General features: G+C 38.0%; 1 protein-coding gene and 1 long non-coding RNA gene across 10 annotated transcripts in view, besides 2 other annotated features; one reads left to right on the top strand and one right to left on the bottom strand.

Moving 5' to 3' along the window:
• The window catches only part of GUCY1B1 (guanylate cyclase 1 soluble subunit beta 1), a 48,791-nt gene extending 31,170 nt beyond the window's left edge, over positions 1-17,621 (bottom strand). For 4 of the 8 annotated variants that reach the window (NM_001291951.3, XM_011531901.2, NM_000857.5 and 1 more), the window contains exons 1-3: positions 17,499-17,621; positions 16,782-16,855; positions 1,574-1,674 (exon numbers count right to left, since the gene is read on the bottom strand). In NM_001291951.3, coding sequence (NP_001278880.1) covers positions 1,574-1,674; positions 16,782-16,855; positions 17,499-17,501 — 178 coding nt within the window. In that variant the 5' untranslated portion in view covers positions 17,502-17,621. Of the gene's footprint in view, positions 1-1,573; positions 1,675-3,888; positions 4,041-16,781; positions 16,856-17,100; positions 17,287-17,498 lie in introns of all 8 variants that reach the window. The other 4 variants (XM_017008131.3, NM_001291955.3, NM_001291953.3 and 1 more) reach the window with 3 other exon arrangements.
• Positions 16,574-16,843: a silencer, noted in NCBI's record as "silent region_15770". NCBI's record gives its function as "represses an Ori minimal core promoter by ATAC-STARR-seq in GM12878 lymphoblastoid cells {active_cell/tissue: GM12878}" and the evidence as "EXISTENCE:reporter gene assay evidence [ECO:0000049][PMID:35858748]".
• Positions 17,294-17,443: a silencer, noted in NCBI's record as "silent region_15769". NCBI's record gives its function as "represses an Ori minimal core promoter by ATAC-STARR-seq in GM12878 lymphoblastoid cells {active_cell/tissue: GM12878}" and the evidence as "EXISTENCE:reporter gene assay evidence [ECO:0000049][PMID:35858748]".
• A 605-nt stretch (positions 17,622-18,226) lies between the features above and the next one.
• LOC105377506 (uncharacterized) overlaps positions 18,227-23,438 on the top strand; it is a 33,998-nt gene continuing 28,786 nt past the window's right edge. For both annotated transcript variants that reach the window (XR_007058484.1, XR_007058483.1), the window contains exon 1: positions 18,227-18,452. This is a non-coding gene — a long non-coding RNA (uncharacterized LOC105377506). The remainder of the gene's footprint in view (positions 18,453-23,438) is intronic.

Here is a 23,438-nt window from a genome sequence, read left to right as displayed (position 1 = left end):
CTGTAGTGCACTGGTAGGATCTCGGCTCGCTGCAACCTCCACCTCCCGGGTTCAGGCCATTCTCCTGCCTCAGCCTCCTGAGTAGCTGGGACCACAGGAACCCACCACCACACCTGGATAATTTTTGTATTTTTAGTAGAGAGGGGGTTTCACCATGTTGGCCAGGATGGTCTCGAACTCTTGGCCTCAAGTGATCCACCCACCTCGGCCTCTCAAAGTGCTGTGTATCAGTTTTAATTGCTATCTTATTCAACATATGGATGCAATAATTTATTTAACCAATCCCTTCTTATTGAAAATGTAGGCTTTTTTTCAGTTTTTGATAATATATGGAACTCTGACATGAAAACACATACATAAATCTTAATGGAAAGAGATCTAATAATTTATTTAGGAAAAATTACTGAAGGTTTTAATATTTTTTTAAAAGGCTTTCATGAGGCAAAATTGTTCTCAAAAAAGTTGTCTTAACTACCATCACATTTAAAATGTATGTGATTTCCCATTAACTGTACTCCATCATTACACTAGATATTTCCATTTTTAAGACTGCCAAATTGATAATAAAAAAAGTTATTTCATGTTTGTTTCAATTTTGATTGCTGGAGGCTAGATATTTTTCTTGTTAATATTAAACATTTACCAATCTTTTAAAACAATTTTTATTCTACTATAGATAGTGTTTGCTTTCCTAGTTATATGTGGCAAAGCTAAAAGCTTCATTCTATTGTATCCAAACTATAGCCCAGTTAAAAATTAAGCACTGTGGGAATAATAGATACTACTTTGAGAACAACTTCTTCTCCATGAAATTTTTAAAACTTTGCCTTCTTCAGAAAGATATTTATCTGTGGTAGATCTCAGTTTCATGTTTCTTTTACCAATAGTTAATATAACTTGTGACTACAAAAGAGATTTGGAGAAACACATATTATACTTGAATAACTACCGTTTTCTTGACACCACAACTGATGTTGTTACATTAAGTATCAATAATTCTCTTTCCTTCCTGAATACATGGCTTTCTGTTGGGGGAGACAAAGGACTGGGCCTGGCGTGGAGGCTCACACCTGCAATCACAGCACTTTCGGAGGCTGAGCCAGGTAGATCACTTGAGCTCAGGAGTTCAAGACCAACCTGGACAACATGATGAAACCTCGTCTCTACCAAAGATACAAAAAATTAGCTGGGCGTGGTGGTGCGTGCCTGTAGTCCCAGTTACTTGGGAGGCTGAGATGGGAGGATCACTTGAGCCTGGCAGGCAGAGGATGCAGTGAGCCGGAGTTGGGCCACTACTGCAGTGCAGCCTGGGTGACAGAGCCAGACCCTGTCTCAAAAAACAACAAGAAGAGCACATTTACTCTTTTCTATTCTCTAAAGAATTTGCAAAAGGAAAAATAAGACTTGGCATAGCCTGAGCCTAACATGATATGTGGATGCCCACCACACAACTATGCAGGTTGTACAAATGCTCTGCACCACTTCTGTAACCCTGCGTTGTGATCTTGAACCATGCATTCTGTGAGCTTCTACGTGTAACTTGGCCAAAGAAGGAAAGTTGCATTCAACTTACTGAGGACTTTGCTTGCAGCAGCAACCAAATCATAAGTTTTGGAGTCATCATATATTATTCTGACAAGAAACTGTCCTTCTTCATCTAACTGTGCCTCTTTTCTGGAAAACAAAAACAAGAAAGACAGAAGAGAAAAGTTGAAGTTAAAAAAATAGCTACTATAAGTATAATAATTGTATAAACAATGGCTTTATCTCTGAAATAGAATTTGGTTTTTTTGGGCAAATTTGTTTAAACATCATCATGTACCTAAAATTCTAGTGAGAGAGCAGAAATGATGTCATATCCCCCTCCCTAAATTAAAATGATATATTTAAGTATATTTTAGCAAGATTAACAGTACATAGTACTCTACTGCTCAATACAATACCTGCCATTAAATATAATAAATTAAATAACTTTTGGGTTAATAGATGTTTAGCAAGTTTTGTTGAGTCCCTATTAGGTGCCAGACATTGTTCTGGGTACTAGGGGTACAATCTTTAGTAAAACAGACAAAAATCCCTGACTTCTTGCAATACATATATTCTGGGAAAACAGACACAACATAAAATTAATAAATAACATATAATGGTAAGTATTATACTTTGGAGAAAAATAAAGCAGAGTAGAGCAGTGGAGAGCTCAAGGACAGCAGCCAGGAAGGCCTCACTGAGAAGCTGGCATTTGAAGAAAGTCTGAAGGAGCTCCGAGAGTAAGCCACGAGCAATTTAGAGAGATTGTGTTCTGGGCAGAGGGAAGAGCAAGTGCAAAGGGCAAGGCAGGAGCATGCCTGGGGTGTCAGAGGACAGCAGAGGCCAATGTGGCTGGAACAGAGGAGGGGGAAAAGTAGCTATCAGGGAACGGGTAGGAGAGGTAACATGAGGCTACAGTGCTTGGCCTGGTTGGACGTTGGGATAACTGCCATTTACTTGAAAGAGGTGAAGGGCTTGAGCACTTGTGACATGAGTGGTGATATAAACTGCTCTAGGTTAAAGGGATTCACCTGGCTACTGCATTGAAAATAGACTAAAGGGGTACAAGACAGAGGAGGGAGACCAGTTAGGAGGCTGCTGCCAACATTCAGGTAAGAAGTGTTGGTGGGCTGGGCGCGGTGGCTCATGCCTGTAATCCCAGCACTTTGGGAGGCGGGGACTGACAGATCACGAGGTCAGGAGATCAAGACCATCCTGGCTAACACGGTGAAACCGTCTCTCTGCTAAAAATACAAAAAATTAGCCTGGCGTGGTGGCGGGTGCCTGTAGTCCCAGCTACTCGGGAGGCTGAGGCAGGAGAATGGCGTGAACCCGTGGAGCAGGTAAGAAATGCCTCAAACTCATATATATTCTAAAGGTAAATTCAGCATGATTTGCTATGGATTGGACACAGGGTGTGAAAAGAGAGGACTCAAGGAGGACACTGAGGTTTTTGGTCTAAGCAACTAAAAGGATGTTGTCACCAGTAGCTGAATTGGGAAAGACTTGTTGGAGGCGGACAAGGGGTCAAGGTCAAGAGCTATGTTTTCAACATATTAAGTTTGAGATGTTTTTAAACATATTAAGTTTGAGATGCCAAGTGGACTGATAAAATCTTCAAATATATCCTTAGCTTATTAAACACAGTAGCTCAAAACATACACAGTACTAGTGAAAGAAAATTATAATTGTTTTTAAAAGTTGTCATGATTATATAAATGTATTTATTTAGATAGGATTTGAATTACTTTTCTCAAACAAGCATTCAAAGGAGAGGTGAAATCCATTGTTTAAAACACTGCCACCTACTACGCATGTAACAAATTGCACATGTACCTCATAAATGTATGTAAATAAAAAAACCCACATGGCCAACTGTAGAAAAGAACTAAGTTCCAGATATCATTGCCAATGTTAACTTCACAAAAATACATGGAGCTTGGATGTCAACCTCTTACTCTCAATCCAATTCATCGGAATCCCTGTACATTGCCAAGAGAATACAAAGGAAAGTAGCCACTCTAATTAGGCGAACTTGCAACACAGCAGCTCAAATAACTCCTTAAATATTTTCAAGGCAGTCCTTAGTTGCTTTCTCTCCTTCAGAAGCTGTGCTATCACAGCTGCCACTCATGACTATATCTGTGTATGCTCAAGGGAAAAATTCCAAATGGTGGTATGTCTTACATCCATACCTTAGTATGCAGATAGTCTTAAAAACATCCTCTGTCCTTCAGAGCTTATAATTTATTTGCCTGCATTTATTCATAACTTTTTTTTTAAAAGCATGTTTTCTGTAAGCACAGAGATCTGCATTTCAGAGCCCAGGCTTTACCAGCTAAATGAACCGGAGCAAATCACATAAAGCACATAAGCATTAAAATCTCTCTTTTCTGGCTGGGCAGGTTGGCTCATGCCTGTTATCCCAGCACTTTGGGAAGCCCAGGTGGGAGGATCCGTTGAGCTCAGGAATTTGAGAACAGCCTGGGCGACATACCAAGACCTCTTCTCTCCTAGAAATAAAAAAAAAATTAGGCAGGTGTGGTGGCGCAAGTCTGTAGTCCCAGCTACTTGGGAGGCTGAGGTGGGAGAATATTGCTTGAGCCTCGGGAGTTGAGGCCTCAGTGAGGCGTGATCTTGCCACTGCATTTCAGCCTGGGCAACAGAGCCAGATCCTGACTCAGCTAACAAACAAGCGAACAAACAAACAAACAAAACCTCTCTTTTCTGAAGTGGAAGCAACAGATAATTCACCTTTCACAACAGTAAAGAGATAAAGTGTACAAAAGTATATTCTAAGCAGTTAAAGTACTATACATATTCCCAGTGAATATAGCACTCCCCATGTCTACTCAAACAATTATAGCACTGTACATAAAATATTAAATTCTTCTCCCTTTTTCCAAACATAAACAGCTGTTAAACAAAAGCAACACAACTCTTCGAAGACCTCAAGTCTTTTTAATACCAAAAGTCAGTGAGATATCAAAAAATTATGAAAACGTAATATACAAACATTGTCTTATCCTCTGATAAATGCTACTATATATTTTCTGCATTCTAATTTCTAATTGTAAAAATATATATAAAGTACAGGAAAGGAAAAACTAAAAAGAGAAAATAAGCCTCCACTATCCTGAGATAATCACTGCTATTATAATTTTCAAGTTGTTCATGCTTGAATATACTTATATATAGAACATACTGCTTTAAAACCCATTTGAGTGAATATTTGATGGATATCTTTTCATATCATAATTATACTTCTATACCATGGCTGCATAAAATTGCATTGTAGACATATTGAAGTCTTGGTAGGTAGTTAGATGTTTTTATTTTTTCCACAAGTATAAAAAATGTTATGAATATCTTTATAGCTTCTTACACTTCTATGTAAAAACAGAACAAATTCTTAGGAATGGGATAAATAGTTTGACGGATATGGATACCTTATGTTTTGTCATTTTGCTATTAACATTTTATTTTGAAACAACACTGATCTATAGATTAAAATTTTGGAGACTCTGACAGAATATTCTAATTAAAGATACAATAAGTAGAAATTTATTCATGTTTCACCATTCTGTTTCTTCCAATTGGAATAAATCAAATCACATAAATTTCTGTAATAAACTCTGTTTATTTGAAACACTCACCAATCTCTAGTAACCCATAAATAAACAAGGTACAAGCAGAATCCACAGTCCCTCTGCATAAAACAGGGGAACAGCCATTTCCTCAGAAACCCCCTAACCATGGGTCAATGCATTGGTCCTTTCCTTTCTCTCTCTTTATTAAAATAAGCTCCCTTATCATCAAAGCTTTACTTCCTGAAATGACCAGTGTCAATGCTCCCCAGTGGGGACTGAAATAGAAATTAAACAGTAGTACATGGAAGGAAATAATAATCTTCTTTTAAAAATTTCACTCTGAATTCCTTTGAATTATTCAAAGTACTTAGGACTCTATTTACATCTTTGGGAATGTGGGGCTACCCTTTTTCTTTTTCTTTTTTTCTTATGGAACAGTTTTACCACAAATATTTGGATGCCTATTATGTCCAAGCACTTTTCTAAGCACTTTTAATATATCAATGAACAAAAGAGGTAAAGATCCCTGTCCTCATAAAGCTTATATTTTAGCTGACAGATACAAGTAATAAGCAATAAACATGATATATAACAAAATGATATAATATGTTATGAAGCAATAGATACTACAGGAAGAGGTAGCTCTGGATAAAGACATGAGAGTGGAAATGCAAGAGGAAGGGGCTGGATGCAGTATACATATGAGGATAATATACATAGGTGTTCATGGTAGGCTTCATGGGGACAGTGACGCCGGAGCAAGGACTTGAGCAGGAAACCTCCATCCTTACCACCTTATACCTAACCTTTCTGGGGCCACTTCCTTTCCTTCTCTAGCCTATTCTTCATCTTCTTTCCTTTCAGGGGAAAAGCTAATTGGAAATACTGCAAAAGTTAATTGGAGGTATCGCAAACTCTTTAGTATGAAGCAGTTTAATACACTAAACTGAGATGGAGAATATACAATGAAGGAATAATAACTAAGAGAATTAATTTCAGATAATATGGCCTTTGAAGCTAGTAGAAATTTTGAATCAACCAAGCCTTCTCTGTTGTCTCTCAATTCTCAATACAACTTTTCTTCTAACTTTTAGGTAAATTTATATATAATCGGACTTCATGCTGTCAAATGTTTTAACCTCCAGAAAGCACAGAGATGTGATAATAACCATTTCCCAGCACTCTGCAAAATATAGCTGCCACTGTTCTTTGAGGAAAGTTTTAATGGCTTCCCTTCCCACACTGCAGGCTTCCTTCTCTCCTTAGCTTTAGGGCTGTTTTTTTATCTGCTACCTGAAGTCACAGAGGGCGACCAGTAAATTTAAGAAAAGTTAGGAAGTAAGCTAATATTCAGATTACATAAACAATTTACATAATTCAAGTAATATTATCTCATAATTCTGCATCTCCCACTTTGCTATCCCATAACTTTTAAGTTCTTTCCTCAAGAGCAAAGGCAAGAATAACACTTCTAGTAATTTAAAATTTATTTTTGTGACAAGTAGAATTTATATGGGCTTAAATTATCCAAATTCAGCCAAGTACATTCACCAAATTTTATAGACTCATTCATTCTTTCAGAATTATTTTTTGAGCTCCAATTTTGTTTAAATTGTTGCATTATGTATACATTGTTACATTATTATTATGTAATTATATAATTACATAATAGGGAAATTATGCAATTACCTTATTATTTAAATTGTACTTATTTTACATGTGAGAAAAACCACAGGTTTCCCTGAGAACCACAATTTAAGATTTTTCTGAAAATTTTGGACATACTGTCATTTTTTTCAATGCTTCTTAGATGACAAAAAATATCATATAAACTCTAAGTAAATTGGATTAAACTGTGTTCAAGAGTGCTCATCTATCAAATAATAACCAACAGCACTACAATCTTCATGCCTCCTAGTTTGTATTACAGTCTGTTGCTGCTTACTACTATTATTTTTATTTTTAAAAGTCCTACCAAATCCCAAGTGAACATAGTCTTTCACTATTTTCAAATACTATGACTTGCCATATTTACATACCCAATGACTCTGCTTGGCTTAAGCGTTAAATTTTTCTATTCAGTGAATTACTCAATGAAAGAGGTCAGCAGACAATAATAAATATTTAGAGAGGTTCAAGTTTAAAAGCACTTTCATTGGCTAACAAGTAAACCTAGATAAAGAGAAACTCCCTTGATTTCATCTATGTCATAAGTCAAAGTCTTTCCTCACACAGTATGGAAAATAAACAACTAAGCCAATCCCATGTGCAGTTTGGGCAGATTCAACTCTTGGTGTTTCATTTCCTCATCTGTAAAACAGGCTAACAGCAGCAGTTACCTCCGGTCATTGTGTTGGTTAGCAGAATTAACCTATGCAAAAATCTCAGGGTAGTACTTCTTGCACACTTAATGCCTGATACTTCCTCTAACTGGTAAGTTATAGTAGTTGGAGAAGATGAAGGAAGAAGGGAAAAAGGAGAAAGAGGAAATGGCAAGTGGAAGAAGAGAAGGGAAGAATGACAACAAAATCTTAGTCATTTTTAGTCAGAATCAAATAATTAAGGTGCACTTAGTATGCAGATTTGCTGATAGAATTTACAAACTAAAATAGCCAAGAAACAAACAAGCTCTGTTGCCCCTAAGGGCTTTAAAAATAAAGATCGAATTCTCACCTGGCAACAAAATCAGAAATAATCACATTCTTTGTATCTGTAGCCACAGTAACTGTTTAGAAGTTGAATACGTATAAGTGAAATAGTTTCCCAGTAGCAATCAACTTCCTACTTACTCTTATTTGTTGGAATTTAAGCAGATCCTTTATTTATACTAATTACCTTTTCACAAAGAGGTAGTTGGTATTTTTATAGTGGTGGTGTTTGGTAAGTTGGGATTTTTTTCTTTAATGTAATTACTGGTGCCTAACCCAGGTGCCTGGAATTGCACATGTGCTTAATAAAGGTGCACATGTGCTTAATAAAGGTATACATGTTTAAAAATTAGTGAATGAATTAATGAAATCAATTTCCCCACACATTTCCAAGCTCCCTACAAAAAAAAAAAAAAAAAACAAACAAGTAATCAAACATTACTAACAAAAGTCCATCATTTGCTTTCAAACTAAAGAATATTTTTTATTATTTATTTTTTAAAACTAGGTATACAATTTGTCCAAAATATCCAGGTAACATTTCTTATAACTTCACATACAAGGAGATATTCCTTAACTACAATATGTGAACACAGAAAAACTGAATTCATATTCTGACCCTGAGCTCCTGCTACTGTACATTTTTAGAGTAAGTTAAGAATATGACAAGACTGCTATATTTCAGTTAAAGAAGTTTTCCATGGAGTATTTTGAAATGGGAGAGCCTGAACACAGGCATGTTGAAAACATAATCTCAACACAAGGTCTGCTCTTGGGCAGAAAAGGTCAATCAGGATCAAACAATCAAACTGACCAATGACAGCTCCAAGATACTATTGATCCCATAAACAACATTATCAGAACACATGCTGTATTAAAAAACAGTACGTAGGTGTCGTTTTGATAATAAATCCTAGAATGGTCCATTGTAGTGAGCTGAATTGGTACCATAATGTTGCATTGTCCCCAACCATTATTAAAACTAAAATCTCCCACTATAAACTGTGGATAGTAACTATATATAACATCTAAAAAAGTAAAACTTTATATTGCTTTTTTCTAAGTGGCTGTGGAGCATGAATAGCCTCTAAGTTTTCAATGGCCTAATCTAATGATTCTCAGTAAGCCTGAACCCCAAAGGAGAGACTCTGGCTTGAGGGAGCTGCCAAGTGGAGAGACAGGCCCTTTAAATCCAGTAACGACTTCCTGCCTGAACCCCCTTTTAGTTAGTAAAGGTCAGTCCTTTCATGTCAATGTGTTCACTCACTCATCCAATCACTGTAAACAGTAACAATAAATACTCTCCTGAGTGACACCCATACCTTAGTTTTAGGGGAAACAACAACAGTCTTGATACATAATTGCATGTTTCTTCCTGACATGCAATTGTCAGGAAGAGACCCTTAATGGTAATTTCTCCAATTTTGAGTCACAAGAGACCCTTAATGGTAATTTCTCCAATTTTGAAAACATATCCACAAAACTTACAAATCTTCATTTGAGCTGCTGAGCCATTTTCAGCAGCTTTAACAGACAAATGAATTTACTTAGACACTTGTGTATATGCTTCATGTCAATTCGCCTTTAAAAATATTGTTGTCAAAAATCACCTGTACGCATGCTTGAACATTCCAAGAAAAAAGAAAAAGCAGCAGGCAGTACTAATACACATAAACATGGCACATGTCCTTGCTAAATTGGTTGTCTTTGGAAAGAAGAAGGTTATAGGTCTTTCTCTTTGGAGGAAAACACATAACATGATAATTACAACTTTATCTGTGTTCAAATCCCAGCTCTAATAATTAATAGCTGAGTGTTTGAGGCAGGCTTTCTTTTACGCCTCTATTCTCTCATTTGCAAAATGAGGATAATGAAGGAATCTATTTTCTGTGGTGGTGATGAGGATTAACTGAGATAATGAGTATAAAGCATCTAGGACTGTGACTGCAGAACCATATGGTATGTGTTTAATATACGTGACATATTACATTCGAAATAGCATGACATGGTGAGAGCTCAGCTGGATTTCAAATTTAATTTCAGTATTCTAAACACTGAGTTACAGTCTATGACACTGACTTTAAACAGCACCACACATCCCTGCCTTTTAGAAACTTGCTAAAGGATTCAATCATGTCCTGAATCCAATCTAGTAATTGTCTTTTGACATATGAAATTGTCATTCTAACAATAGAGTTCTTAGTCCTTCCAATACATCCACATGACATGAGAAAACATAAAAGAACTCTGACACTTCCAAAAGGAATTGCTATTATGTATTGCTATATTGCTCTATCTTCTGCCTTTGCTGATATAAGAAATGTTTATTTGGCACAGCAATGTCACTATTAACAATTACAATGAACAATTACAGTTAACAATACTATAATGAATACTTGAAATTTGTTAAGAGGGGAGGTCTTAAGTGTTCTCACTACAAAAAAAGAGGGTGCCTATGTGAGGTGATGAATATGGCAATTGGCTTGATTACAGTGATTATTTCACAATGTATATGTACATCAAAACATGAAGTTGTGCACCTTAAATATATATAACTTTTATTTGTCAATTATATCTCAATAAATCTTGGAGAAAAAGAAATGTCTATTTGAAAACAGCTTATATTTAAATAGTAGTTGAATATGTCACCATGCTGACATAAATTCTGGTTGCAGAGAAGAATCTTTGATAAAAATATGTGTGTGCTCTATTCTTTGGAAATGAAAAAGGTGAAAGATACTTCATTCACATATAAACATCCATATTTTTATTACAGAAAGAGAGCCTGATATTTTATTGAATACATAGAGAGAGGGAGAGAGAGAGCACTCTAGAAAGAGTTATGGAGGCTATTGTCATGGAGGATAGACATTAATCAGTAGTACAAATACTAAGTACAAACTCTTGCATTACAGCACTATGAAGGAAAGGGAAAAGTTTGGATGTGAGAGAAGGTTCCCTTAAGAAGTGACATTTGCTTTGACATCTCAAAGCTGAGAGGTGTTTACATTTACAGGAGGGTTGGGAGGGTGAAGAAAAGGAGACCATAGCAAGCACAGGTGTTAAACGGACACATTTAAGGCTCGGTATGGCTGAGAAACTAAAAACAGGCCCATGGGGCTGGAATGCTAAGGGTATGTAGGACAAGTTGAGTGAAAGGTTTCCATGTTTGGGTTATCTGAAGATTGACCACAAAGAATTTCAATAAATTTAACAATTTCATATTTCATGATTCAACAATGAAGGGGAAGTAGACCAGAATATGCAACAGAACCAAAGCCACAGTAACGAGGAGGTCCAATAAATACTTCAGAATGTCTACTTTTACCTGGAATAAAATCCACTTTAACTTCACTATCTTTTGATATAGTTTGACACAGAAAAAGATGCTTCATTTTGCTAGACATAAACAATAAAGACATTTTTTCTCCCACCATTTCCTCTTTAACGAACAAGGAGGCAAAGGAGAGAATGAAAAAGCTGCAAGTACTCACGTCTGCTGAGCTGTCACCCTCGGATCTAGCCAGTTAGATTTCTTTATAGCATTCATTTCCTTAAGTGTGTTTTCCTATTGATGTCTGCAGAGCATCAACCCATAACTATAGTTTTCCAACACATTAAAGAGAAACATTTGCTAGAGCCCCTTATTCTGGAGAAAGGCAAGAAAGTAGAAAGGACTTTGTTCTTGCAAATCATAACAATGCTTAGTAAATGTTTGCCAAAACTAGATCTGGGTACATTAAGAGTGAGAATACAGATTTTCTGATTTCTGATGCTCACCGTAATGTGCAAAGATCCTTCCGACACGCCAAATTAAGTGATGTACTCCTCTGATTTTTTTTTTAATTCTCAAAAATCACAGAATGCAAGGAAAATAAAGACTCCAAGACCCAGCTTGATTTCTGGGGGATACCTCAGATCATCAGAACCAAAATAAAACTCAAAAGAAACACCCACAAACTCCCTGAGATCATGTGATGACCCGCCTTATCACCTAGGTGCCTGCCATGCTGCTCACAGACATGGTCCAGGTTCTGGAAGAGCCCTATGCAAAGAGCTCAATAGCAGGTATGTGATGGAGTATACACTTGGGCATCCAGTTCCAGCTGCAAAAGATAACTTCAAACATTAGTAAGCTTAACAGCCAACACACAATACAATGCAACGCCTTCCTCTGTATTTCAGGCTAACTGGCAGATCTTTCTACAGAAAAGGATCCTGATCCTAACAATGATCTGGTTTACTTGTTTCCTTAGTCTGTATATTAATGTGTTTATTTGTACTGAGGAAGTTTCTGGGTAAGAAAATAAATGTGGTTTCATTTTTGTATGTATACTACATTAGTTCCTATTTCACAGTTATATCTTAAAAGAAGCATTAAACCTGGCAACAGAAGAACAAGGGCTGAAGTTCTGACTTTTCAGTTTCCTATATGTAATTCTCTGGGACAGTAAGTAATTACATATGGGAATTAACCTCTTGGAAAACCAACTTTGTTATTAAAAAAATTGAGCTGTAAAGTCCTTTCCTATTTCAAATGGATGTTGTAGCAGTCAACCAAAATTATAGAGAGAACAAAACTTTGGAAATTTGAAATTGCTTTATAATATAAAGTATCCTTACTACTTTAAAACATACATAGGCTCATTACTACTTAAGCAGATCTACAGAAAGGTATAGAAGTTTAAATCACACCTTCAAAAATATGAAAATCTGAATAAACACGGCAAAACATGGTGATGTGCTCTTTTGTTTGTTTTAATTTGCTTTGATACAATGGATATTAAGAGCATTTGTTGCATTTCAAAACAAAATGATGAAAAATGATGATGATGATGATTACTTATCCTAGAGTGATAAAAAAAATTTAGACTGATAGAATATAGACTGCAATAATATTTTTTAAAGGAGGGCTTAATATCTTTCAAGTAAATTGGGGAACGGAAAGTTTAAAAACTCTGATTCTAGAGTAAAATAAAAAAAAATCATCATTTATTAAGCTATTGTCAAGAACTATGTTAAGCATTTTGCAGACATTATTCAATGCATTACATCAGCTCTGTGAAGTATTATTTTTTCCTCTATGCAATGGAGGATTGGAAAGTTTAGGCAACTTGGAAAGTCCCATAACTAGTTTATAGCAAAGTGTTTCCTTATTTGAACCATAATGATTAATTTGTGATTAGCAAATTTAACAAGACACATTAATTTCAAAACTGGAAGTATATGCTATCCAACAGACAAAAGGTTACCGTATTTGAGTTATAGGCAGGAAAATAAAAACAAAATAATAAGACTAAAATATCATGAAATCTCTAGAATTTTTTTTTTGAAGGTAAGGATTACATCATTGCTTTTCTATCCTCAGTGCCTAAAACACTTGACTATACTCATTAAAGATAAACGTTTTATCTGATTTATTTAAGTCAGGACAGTGTACTTTCTTTACAGACTTTTAATCATTTGGGATTTTTCAGTGTTTTGGATCTATCTTCCTAATTTGTATGTTTCAGTGAGGTTAAAAAATCTAAAGTTGGGCTGGGTGTGGTGGTGCATATAATCCAATACTTTGGGAGGCCGAGTCAAGAGGATCACTTGATGACAGGAGTTTGAGACCAGCTTGGGCACACAGCAAGACCTGTCTCTAACTGCTTCCCTCCGCTGCTACCCAGAAAAAATATGGAAAGAAAGCAGAGAAAAAATCTAAAATTAAACCCAGTAATTTGACGCAATGATGAGTTTAGTCAGGGCTGATGGAAGGATAACAGAGATGGGAAATCAAGTATTTAGGTGCTTTTCTAGGATGTATCACTCCTAACTTTATTTATTTTCTACCCTGATAATTTTTTTGTCATTACTTAGAAATCATAGCCTCTTAAAAGGACTATTTGAATATTGAAATGAAATCAACAAAAAAAACTTTGAAATGGATTCAGAGGTCTCTTTTGCTTTTTCACATTTGTTATGGTCTAAATCAGAGGTCATCAAACTATAGCCCATGGATCACATGTAGCCCACTTTGTCTGGTTTGGTTGTTTGTTTGCGTTTTCCTGGTCCAAGAGCTAACAATGGTTTTAATATTTTTAAGTGGTTATATTTTTAATAGTTATATTGATTCCTACATAATATCCTCAGTTTTACCTTGGCCTGTAACACCTAAAACATTTACTATCTGGCCCTTTAAGAGAAAGTTTGCTGGCCCTTGGTCTAGACAATTTTTCTTCTTCTTAAGAGGAATTCAAAGCTTTTGTGAAATGGTTATATTGTTGGTAAGAGTGTAAGTGGATACTGAGTTTACAATGAAGCATTTTTGGCCCTTATCCACTTAGAATTTTCTGTCTGCTGTCTGGAATCTGTTACTTAGGGTTTTATTTGTCATTAAATGTTTGGCATCTTTTCCCATCCTTTCTCATGAAGGATGGATGGCCATTTCCTAGTGAAGCAAAAAAGTATAATGTAAATTTGTATAAACATCAATTTAGATAGTTTCTCAAAGACCAAAAGAAAAAATAAGAGTTTGGTACTTACTGAGACAAAAAAAAATGTTTTTCCTCTTATATTCAATTTCTTATAAAAGTTAAAACTGAAAGCATCTTGGACCAATGACTGCTTTAATATTCCCTGAAGCAGAGGGTAGGGAGGGGAGGAGGAACCAGAATCACCCAAGGAGCATTTTTCAATTACACTCCTCCAGGTTCTCCTCCCCTCTCCCCAGGCAGCAAGATTCTTTTCTGTGGAAAGCAAATGCTCTCCCAGGGAGCATTTAGTAATTACTCAGGGGTATTGGGTTGGAAACCAAGGAGCAGCTTTAATGCCCTCAGTGCAGAGAGTTCAACCATGTTCTCTAGCCCAGACACTAAACCACACCCAAGATCAGCTGGGGTCCACCAAAAGATGCTTAGACAAATAAAGAATCAACACTAACACCTGGATTACCAACACCAGTGTGACTAACACTTTTTCCCTTGCAGGGGCATAACCTTGAGGCAATTTTATTTAAGAAAAGACCAATATAACTTGTTTCATTTTTACCAGAAAAATTGTGTTGTGGATGATTGGAATTTTTATCCTTTAGACAAATTATGAATACTGTTGGAAGCTACTTAAAGATAAATTAGTAAGTTAATAAATAATTTTTTAAAGTAGAATGGAACAATATTCTCAGCTTGATTTTGCAGAGTTAAATTCTCGTCAATTGAATCTTTACATATTTGGACTTCCTCTGGGAAAATATAAGCAATATAAACAAATCTCTGGATAATTTTAACTTTTTAAAATGTCTGATACATTACTCTATAAAGTATTATTTTTCATCTCTGTATTTAACAGTGATCTAAACTGATAATGGCTAGGATATACAATCTAAATCTGGTTAAATTACATAATGACTGTTTAATCATAATAGCCATCTTTTATTCTGCTCTAAAAATTCTAAGCATATTCATTGTCATAGCATATCTACCAGCAAATTTGGGAATTTCTATCTTACAGATGCAAAAGCATCATATGGAGAATATATATATATATAGCATTTATAAATTTACAAAGGAAGTGGCTTAAAAATAATTCGGTAGTTAAGTTATACTGTTAACAATCTTTTTTTGATGTCTGCCTTGTTGATATCTGTCTACTAAGCAAAATAAAAATTATAATGGTATTAAGATGGCCAGAAAATTCAAATCCTAAAGTAACTTTTGGTGCCTATGTTCTCATTGGATTCAACCACATACTTGCCAAATCTCGGCTTCTGTTTATAATATGTAGGTAATATGCCCTGTGGATAATACAAATGGTTTCTGAAACATGAAAGAAACGCTCAGTGATACAGATCCAGGGGAAAGAAAAGTTACATTTTCGTGCTTAATATATAACCCTGGTCATTTCTATGGAAACAGATCGTTATGAGAAATCACCATCATGTAACTGCATAATAAGGCCTGTTAGAATTGATTGCTAATAATTGTAATGTGCTTAGGGAAAAACAGCATGGAAGCCTCACCTACCTGAGACAACAAAATGAAATCACTAAGTACAGGAAATCAGAGTGAATAATAACAGTGTATTCCCATCTGCCCACCCAGGAAACCCTTCCTTCCACCTTTGTTACAATGTGATAGTCTGACTGTTGCTCTAATATGAAAATCCATAAATAGGGTTTTGGAGTAGCTAGTTGGTGGTGGTCAGCTGTACCATAAGTTAAATGCAAATTTTTTGAGAGTGAGAGGAAAAAGGAGAGACAACTTTATTAGAGTGAAATAGTCAACCTGCCTGCAGACATGCTGACCCATCAGTCATTCCAACAGGTTTAAACTCTCAGGTGGGTGTGGTATTTCCGTTCACATCCCCAGTACTGGGCTCAAAGCTCCAGGACTGAAAGTAGAATGCCTCCTAGAACTGTTAAGTCTTCAACACAGTAGAAAAAAACGGGGGATAGGGGTTGGGGCGGGGGGGGTGGGCAGTGGGATTTGGGGAAAACAAAAAACTTCCAATTTTCACTTTATTTAAAAATGAATAAATGCGCTTAATTCACTGTTGCTCAAGAAATAATCTCCCGCGTGTTTCAGCATACCAAAAAGGCCTAACTTACGCCAGGTGTGTAAATCATAAAGGAGCCAAAGTCTTCCGTTTGTTTCTAAGGCCTCCGGGCGCAGGAACCTCGCGGAGGCCCGTGTGGTCCCTCGGGGCTCTGCACGCGTGGGAGCTGCCCGGCCTGCTGAGCCTGGGAGCGCCGGCAGCGCGTTCCCACGCTCAGGCCGGGTCGGGAAGCCGTGGTGACCCCTAGGGGCTCCTTTCCGCGGTTCTCGCCCTCGCAGCCCCGCCCCAGCCGCCCCTCCCCTCCTGGTTCCAGTCCCGGAGCGTGGGAGCGCAGCTGCAGCGAGCCGGGAGCGAGGCGCGGAGGCACCTCCAAGGATGCGCGCCCGCGACCCGGCCAGCAGGCTGAGGACCAGGCGAGGCGCGGGGGGCCTCCCACACTGGGCGCCGACCTGGGCCACAGCCAGGGTAGCCGGCCACTTACTTGATGTCTTCCCACACCTCGGGGCCGTAATTGCGGATCACCAGCAACTCCAGGGCGTGATTCACAAATCCGTACTGCGGGGACAGGGAGAGACTTGAGCGTCAGGGACCCGCTGTACCTGAGAAGCGGCTTGGGGGCGAGGCTGCTGCCTCTGCTCCCATGGCGCTGGCTTAACCTTTCACCCCGCCCCTGACTCCTCTCCCTTAGGGGTACTATGCACTAAAGGAGTCGGATCGTGGGGGCGCAACCCCCCAATCCCTGGTGGATTCTCCCCGTCACCATCCGCCCCACCCCCACGCTATCTTCCCACCCTCCTCACCTGTCACCGCTCCGGGAGAGGCTGGGCATCGGGGGCAGCGCGGGGACGCGAACCCGGAGCCTTCCCTTCCGCTGGCGCTCAGCCTCCCACACTGGTGGGGCCGGCCAGAGCCGGGAAGACCCCACGCCTCCGCCGCACCTCCCCTTCCCGAGCTCAGGAAGCTGCGGTGTGGAGCGGCAAACCCGCCTGGGAAGCAAAGGCACCGATCGCCCCCGCCACGACTCGCGGCGTTCCCACCTCCCCTGACTGGGCGCGGGCAAGGAGTGAGGCTGCTCCCGTGGCCGGCAGTGAGCGCCCAGGGCCCCCGAGCCAAGCTCCGGCTGCGCGGCCAGTTCCCTCGCTGCCAGGCCGGCCGAGGAGGGGTGAGGTTCGGGCCGCACCCGGCTGAGAGCACTTACCATGGTGTCTGCACCGGGAGCCGGGGAGGCAGCCCCCACGCAGAGGTACGGCCGAAGGGACCCAGGCAGAGGCGGCAGCGGCTACAGCGCAACCGGGCCGGGGAGGCAGCATCGAGCTGGAGCGAGAACAGCCGCCTTGGCCCGCCCTGATTGCCACCTCTTCCCAGCCAATGGCGAGTCGAGCCGCAGGGGGCTGGTCGGTGCTCCCCAGTTCTTCAACCAATCAGGGACAGAGGAGGGAATTCGGATGCTCTCAATGCTGCTGCGCTCCAGTGCCTTCCCGCCCCCGCCTGGTGACAAGGCCTTCATTTGAGGCCATAACAATGACAGTGGAGAAGCCCCAGCCGTGCTCCTTGCATGAATTCTGGAGCAGAGGAAATGCAGCTCTTGTGGACCCACTAAATGTATTATTATTCAGAGATCTGCCCTCAGTGGTTAACACAAGCAAAAGGGAACAGGGCGTGTTTGTTGTGTGAGCGTGTACGTGTGTACTTTGCAATGGACAGACCTTAAAAGGAATATCCTCTGTTGCTGGCATCCTCATGCTTATCTTTGTCTAGCGGAAAAACATTTCCTCTGTGGCTTGGTCCCACAACAGTTTATGGCAAATTTAAAGCTGGTAATATTGAGAAAAACATATTTTCACTTCTAGTCAATGAGACTAGTTGAGTGAAGCACCAAAAATTTTCAGTAATGTAGTTTGGTGGACGTTATGTTAAATCCAGTCCTGCCCTTTACTAAACTGTACAAGATCCAGCGATATTCTAGGCTTGATCCCTGTGGGACACCTTTCCCTACACCATGTCCGGGAGCCATAATTCCAGGGAGTTTGTAACCCTCTAGAGCGGGCCTCTGTTGCTGTTTCTTAGCAACAGACGAACTGGAAAATGACCAGTACAAAATGCACAGACTTTAACTACTCTACCTCCAGCTTACATTCTACCAGGCCCTTAGGTTAGTTAATGCTCTGAGTCCTGCCATAGAGAGAAGATGAGAGGAACAGGAAGTGGCAGCTTATTAAAGCTGTTTGTACCTGAGGTATATGGACTCCAGTTGACTTTTAGGGCAAGGTCAAAAGTGAGGTCACCAGTCTCAAGTGGACCTGAGAAGCCAGATGGTATTTTAAGATGTGCATATTTTGTTGTGAGAACAGTCTCAATATGGTTAGAGAAAAATGTCAAAACAATAAGATTGTGCTGACATCAGCACCGAGAGAGCTATGATGAAGGAAACTGATACAGAAATAGTGGCATGTAGCAAACAAACAAAACAACAAATTACTTTAAAAATTTCCATTATTGGTGGAATGAGTAAATAGATTACAGCCTTTCATACAATCTAACACCTTGTTTTAAACAACTATTAAAACATTAATCATTATTTAACAACAATTAACCACTAATTTTGAACCATTAAAATGGCACATTAAACAACCATGAAAAAGCAGGAGGGTGACTAGAAAATGATGATGCAGAAAAGTATTGTCAGGTTTACAAAACACCACAAGAATGTAATCATTTTCCATTTTTTAGAGTTAGTATACAGTAAGGTGCTATGTGGGTAATAACACAGGCACATACATGTTGCTGTAAGAATAATGGTTTGGGAGGAAACACAGGAAGTGTTGATATGGCTATCGTCTGTAATTAGAACCAGTGGCTGGAATGGCCATGACTCTTACTTTTTATAACTTTCTGTATCTTTTGATTATTTTTCTACACAGATGAATTTTCTTTACTGTTACATAACTGAATTTTTTTTAACTTTTATTTTAGTTTCAGGGGCACATATGCAGGTTTGTTATATAGGCCAATTACATGTCTTGGGGGTTTGGTGTACAGATTACTTTGTCACCCAAGCACTAAGCATGGTACCCAACAAATAGTTTTTTGATCCTCACCCTCTTCCCACCTTCCATCCTCAAGTAGGCCCCAGTGGTCATTGTCCCCTTCTTTGTGTTCATGTGTACTCCGTGTTTAGCTCCCACTTGCAAGTGAGAACATGTGGTATTTGGTTTTCTGTTTCTGTTAATTTACATAGGATAATAGTCTCCAGCTCCGTCCATGTTGATGCAAAGGACATGATCTCATTCTTTTTGATGTCTGCATAGTATTCCATGGTATATATGTACCACATTCTCTATCCAGTCTACCACTGATGGACATCTAGATTGAGTCCATGTCTTTGCATATAGTGAATTCACATATTAATTCACATATATTCACAAGTATTCATTTTGTGAATAGTTTATTTCATTCCATGTGACTAGTGCTGTGATGAACGTATATGCATGCATGTGCCTTTATGGTAGAATGATTTATACTCCTTTGGGTATATACTCAATAATGAGATTGCTGGGTCAAATGATGTTTCTGTTTTAAGTTCTTTGCGAAATCACCAAACTGCTTTCCACAATGGCTGAACTAATTTACATTCTCACCAGCACTATATAAGAGTTCCCTTTTCTCTATAACCTTGCCAGAATCTGTTGTTATTTGACTTTTTAATAATATACATAAAATAACTTTTAACTTGCTAAAAAAACTTAAAAAAAAAAACTATGTCTCTTATCTGTTCACCTTTGAGCAGCAATGGACCCATGCTCTCTGGTTTACGGTGTGTTGTGGTGTCCTCCACCTTAAACTTTACATAGGCAAAAGATAAGGAGATTGAATTGTTCTCTGGGAATGAAAAATGAGGAAAGCTCACTTAGAGAAAGATATGAGAGGAAATGAATAATGAGCATTTCTGCCAATGTCCCTTTCTCTCTGTCTCTTTCTCTCTATTTCAGTTCTTCTACCCTCACTTTCCCTTTTGTCCAATAACTTTTTGCACTTGTTGTTGTTTTTGTCCAACACATTTTTGCATTTGTAAATGTTTTTACTGTTTTATTTTCCAATTGTCTTATATTCATTCTGAATCTAAAAGAAGTTCTAGACACTAAACATTTACTGACTTTTGTTTGGCCTACAAGATATTACACAGGCTGTGATGTTCAGGGACAGAAGGATGCCTGCCAGCTGTAGAGGATCTCAAAAGAGGGGTCACCATTCTTCTATAAAAGCTCCCTACCTGTTGTCATCACTGCTGGCCAAGTAGCATAGGAATCATATCAGGAAGTAGATTATGCTATATTCTCTGAACAATGCATTGCATTCTTGTATGTATGCCCCAAGCTGAGGAGGATCAGTTAAAGATGAAAAAGAAGAGCTTAGGGAATGGCTTAGCCAGCCCTAAAATCAACATGAAGTTCAGTCTAATGAATGAACAATAAGTAAAAAGGCAATATGTGGCTTTCAGAAATGTCAGCTGAAGTGACTCACATTTTCAGCGAATAAAAATAAATTACTTTGGTAAGTTAAGTATTAAAAGTATTGTAATCGGCCGGGCGCGGTGGCTCACGCCTGTAATCCCAGCACTTTGGGAGGCCGAGGCGGGTGGATCACGAGGTCAGGAGATCGAGACCATCCAGGCTAACACGGTGAAACCCCGTCTCTACTAAAAATAACAAAAAATTGGCTGGGCGTGGTGGCGGTCTCCTGTAGTCCCAGCTACTTGGGAGGCTGAGGCAGAAGAATGGCGTGAACCTGGGAGGCGGAGCTTGCAGTGAGCCCAGATTGCGCCACTGCACTCCAGCCTGAGTGACAGAGCGAGACTCCGTCTCAAAAATAAATAAATAAATAAAGTGTTGTAATCATTGTTTTCAAGGCTTTGCTAGTTAATGTGAAAATTAGAAACCTTTGATTAAGGATAAAGGAAGATACATATATATTTGGGGGTGTTCCCAGGTCTGTGCATGTGTTTGTCAAAGCTCTGGTGTTTTGCCAGTTTTTTCTGTGGCTTCCATTTTTAGATCATTTTATGGAGCAGCATGTCATTTCATTTCAACTATTTCTTATACAATGATTTGCTTTATATTCATGTGCCTCTTTAATCTCTGTGGCTAAGAGCCGAATATTGATTCTTTGTGAAGCTTCTGCTGCTGGTCTTGGTTAGTCGCACAATAATCACATCTGTTGTCATTATTTTTGCTAATATAGTCACTCAATACTTCAAGCAAGGAATTCAGAATACTTACAAGCAAAGAGAAAAGCAAATTCTAAATGACACATTCGGTGATGTGATTCTAGATCAATAGAACAAAGAGAGATCCAAGAATTCAGATTCCTAAAGAAGTGACATTCAGATTTATTGTTAACTTGCCAATGAACTGTAAGTTTTGTCATATGAAAAAGGTAGTATTGAATATTAAAAGAAGCACTTTTTAAATTACTTTTTTCTACATCAAATTCTTTTAATATTTACCTTGCCATCAGAACTTATAAACAAAAAACATTAGTCATGCATACATATATATGTATATCCATTTATTTATAAGGTTTAAACAATTATGTATGAAAATTAAAAGAAATTAAAAGAGAATTAAAGATGATGCTTAGTATCAATGTTATAATAAGTAAAAGCATTAAGTTAAATCAACACATCACTATAACATACTGGGAGTATATGAAATTAAATAAAAATATGTTTCATTTTCAAGAAAAGCTTATGAATACCAGATTGAGCTATAAAGTTTTGCTTCTGAAGTCAAATTGATTAAAATAAAAACTAACTTGTTTTCATCTTCTTTACAGCCTAAGCTTGTACATGGCTGGGAGAGATTATCTTAATCTTTTTCTTTAGTTTATTAAGGATAGATCTAACATGATTATGTCAAAGATTGATTGACTTTGAGCACTGAAAGGTATTTTGGAGGTCATTTAGTCAATGATATTTTCCTATATCTGGAAATCTCTTTATGAACTTGTTGGGGAACAGTGAAAACTTAAAATCTTAGCCAAGAAGTATAATTAGTAAAGTTATGAATTGTTGTCCTCAGAAAGTGTGGAGGATATTAAGATTCCCATCAAAGTAGAGCTAAATATACTTTCTTTCCCATAGTCTCGCCCAGTGGAAGTTGGAATCTAGATTTCAAAAGCTGTCCATAACTCTCAAAAGCCTCTAGATACTATATTAAAATAATGTTCTTCTCTAGTCTATGTTGAAACTACTTATTATTATAGATATAAATAGAAAATAGCAGGGAATAAGAGCCACTAATTAAAATATTTGGTTGCTTCTTTTTGTAACTTTATTTGATTTAAAAAACAAAAATTAGCTATGGGGACAGTTTAGTGTAGGAGTTAATTGTACAGATTCTTTAGTCAGACTGCCTGTTTTCAACCATTGGACAAATTACTTAATGTATTTGAACTACAGTTTCCTCACTTGTAAAACAGGAAAAATAACAGATCAATATACTCCAGTGCTGAGAAGGTTAAAAATATTACCTACCCCACAGGTTTGCAAGTGTGATGCTTAAAGCAATGATTGCAAAATGTTAAGTCCTCACAAACTGTTAGTTAATATTGTTTTTGAGGTGGTGGTTGTTATTGCTGTGTTTGAAGTCAATGATTAATGAAACTAAACCCCTTTTGTCCACCTTATATAAATGTAATATGTCCACTGACAGTGAATGCATAGTGAAAAGAGCTGCACCATGTCAAACTAAAAGATCTAGATCACCCTTGTCAGTTACTTGCTTGGCAATTCAACCTGTCTGAGCCTGGAACTTCCCATTTTATAATGGTGATAGCATTGCCTGGCCCACCTTGCTCAACTAAGATACTAAGAGGATCAAATGAGACATCTTCGAAAGCTTCTTGTAAAATTTAAAGGACTACATAACTCTGTTACCGATTGTTTGGAGTTAGTAACAATAAGCCAAGGACTCACATATGAAACATTGAGTGACAACTGACAATCTGCAAGAAAATCTCTTGCCTACATCGACTTTTCATGTTCAGATTACTGGTTTTGTTGTTGTTGTTGTTGTTGAAAATAAAATCCAAATCTAACTAGATTCATAACATACAACTATATTATCAGTTTTCTAACAAA

The sequence above is a fragment of the Homo sapiens genome, chromosome 4 (genome assembly GCF_000001405.40).
Source record: "Homo sapiens chromosome 4, GRCh38.p14 Primary Assembly".
Taxonomy (NCBI): domain Eukaryota; kingdom Metazoa; phylum Chordata; class Mammalia; order Primates; family Hominidae; genus Homo; species Homo sapiens.
The sequence above is the reverse complement of the archived record's forward strand: the minus strand, read 5'-3'. Positions and strand labels throughout refer to the sequence as shown.